The sequence below is a fragment of the Homo sapiens genome, chromosome 10, assembly GCF_000001405.40.
Source record: "Homo sapiens chromosome 10, GRCh38.p14 Primary Assembly".
Lineage (NCBI taxonomy): Eukaryota > Metazoa > Chordata > Mammalia > Primates > Hominidae > Homo > Homo sapiens.
The window spans coordinates 109037365-109038763 of record NC_000010.11 but is presented as its reverse complement, the minus strand read 5'-3'; the positions used below and the strand labels follow the sequence as shown (position 1 = coordinate 109038763).

The 1399-nt window shown below is 38.8% G+C and overlaps 1 annotated feature.

Annotated features, from left to right (window-relative positions):
• Positions 288-869: an enhancer, noted in NCBI's record as "OCT4-NANOG hESC enhancer chr10:110797653-110798234 (GRCh37/hg19 assembly coordinates)". NCBI's record gives its function as "activates a minimal SCP1, AML or CMV promoter by ChIP-STARR-seq in naive H9 embryonic stem cells {active_cell/tissue: H9 hESC(naive)}" and the evidence as "EXISTENCE:reporter gene assay evidence [ECO:0000049][PMID:30033119]".

Sequence of the window (1399 nt, the reverse complement as noted above, 5' to 3'; positions counted from 1 at the left end):
TGTGATAATGGAGCCACATTTAGATAGCTGTGTGTGTCCCCAGCAACAAATATATATTTCAAACTATATCCATGATGTAAATAAACAAATTTTAAAAAACTGTATAGAAATTACAGAAAAGATATTTGTCTAAACATTTCAGAGGAGTTATGATACTTACTAGTTTCCCCCAATCAGAAAGTGAATAATATCAAACTCAGAAGGCTTATGTGGCAATATGTCTCTTATCGTAGGCCTAAAAGGAAAAGAGAAAATAGGGAGGGCAAAGCAACAGGGGAAACATCATTCCACATAGGAAGAGAGGCAATACCTCCTGACAACCCTAATTGGAACCCCCAGACTTTTCTATGGTGTTTTTCCTTCTTTCACGGTTTAAAATGGCTCTTTTATAATGTTCCTCCAAACTAGGAAAAGTTAATTTTCCCAAACCTTAAAATGCTTTGCTTAGAGGTGAGCTAAGGGAAAGGAAACCAGAAGGCTGACGTGCCGGCAAAAGGGTACAAACTTCTTACCAGTGGGGCTACCACCAGGTGGAGGCTGCATTGGCATAATAAAAGACTAGAGTGGGAGGACCAGTCTTTTTCGGGCTATGTTAATGGCACTCCTGGTCAAACCAATCCCCTGAGCCCTATGTAAATCAATCACCATTTCCTCAAGCCTCTGTACAAAACTGATTGCATTCCACTGCAAACCAGAGACCCTCTTTTGGGCGACACACTTTCTCAGCACAAGGAAAATTTTTCTCTCTCTTTTCTTCTATTTCTATTAAATTTTCCACTCCTAAACCCACTCCTCATGTGTGTTTGTCTCCTGAATTCTTTCTTGACTGAGACCAATAGCCGGGGTATATACCCCAGACAACAGAGCTGTTTCACATGGATATTGAACTTGTTGGACCTAATTTTATCTGATATTTCAAAGGGAATGTAAAGAATGATCAGGAATTTGGTAGGTAAGGAAGGATTATGGGATGGGGAGTTCTGTATATAGGGAACAGCATATTCAAGGGACCTGTGATGGGAACAAATAAGGTATATAAGAAGTTAGAGTAATCTGATGTGCTTAGAATGTAAGGACTGAGTGGGGATATGAAACTAGAAAATACACAGGAGTAGTTGTGCTGATAAAATGAGATAACACACACATAGGACATAGTAAGCTGCCTGGCTAAGGAAGAATGTTTAACTATGTTAGCTATTAATTTTATTTATTGTAATTCCTGCCTTGGGCTTAAAATGTCTCATTTTCAGTGACCTATTAAATCAGGATCTTTTCCTCTCATAAGAAGTTATTTACCTTAAGGAAGTAGCAACAAACTGGGTTGAGGCTAAAATAGAATCAGTAAGTAGAGGAGTCTTCATTATGGGGACAATGTGTCCATAGACCTTGGCCCAATTTG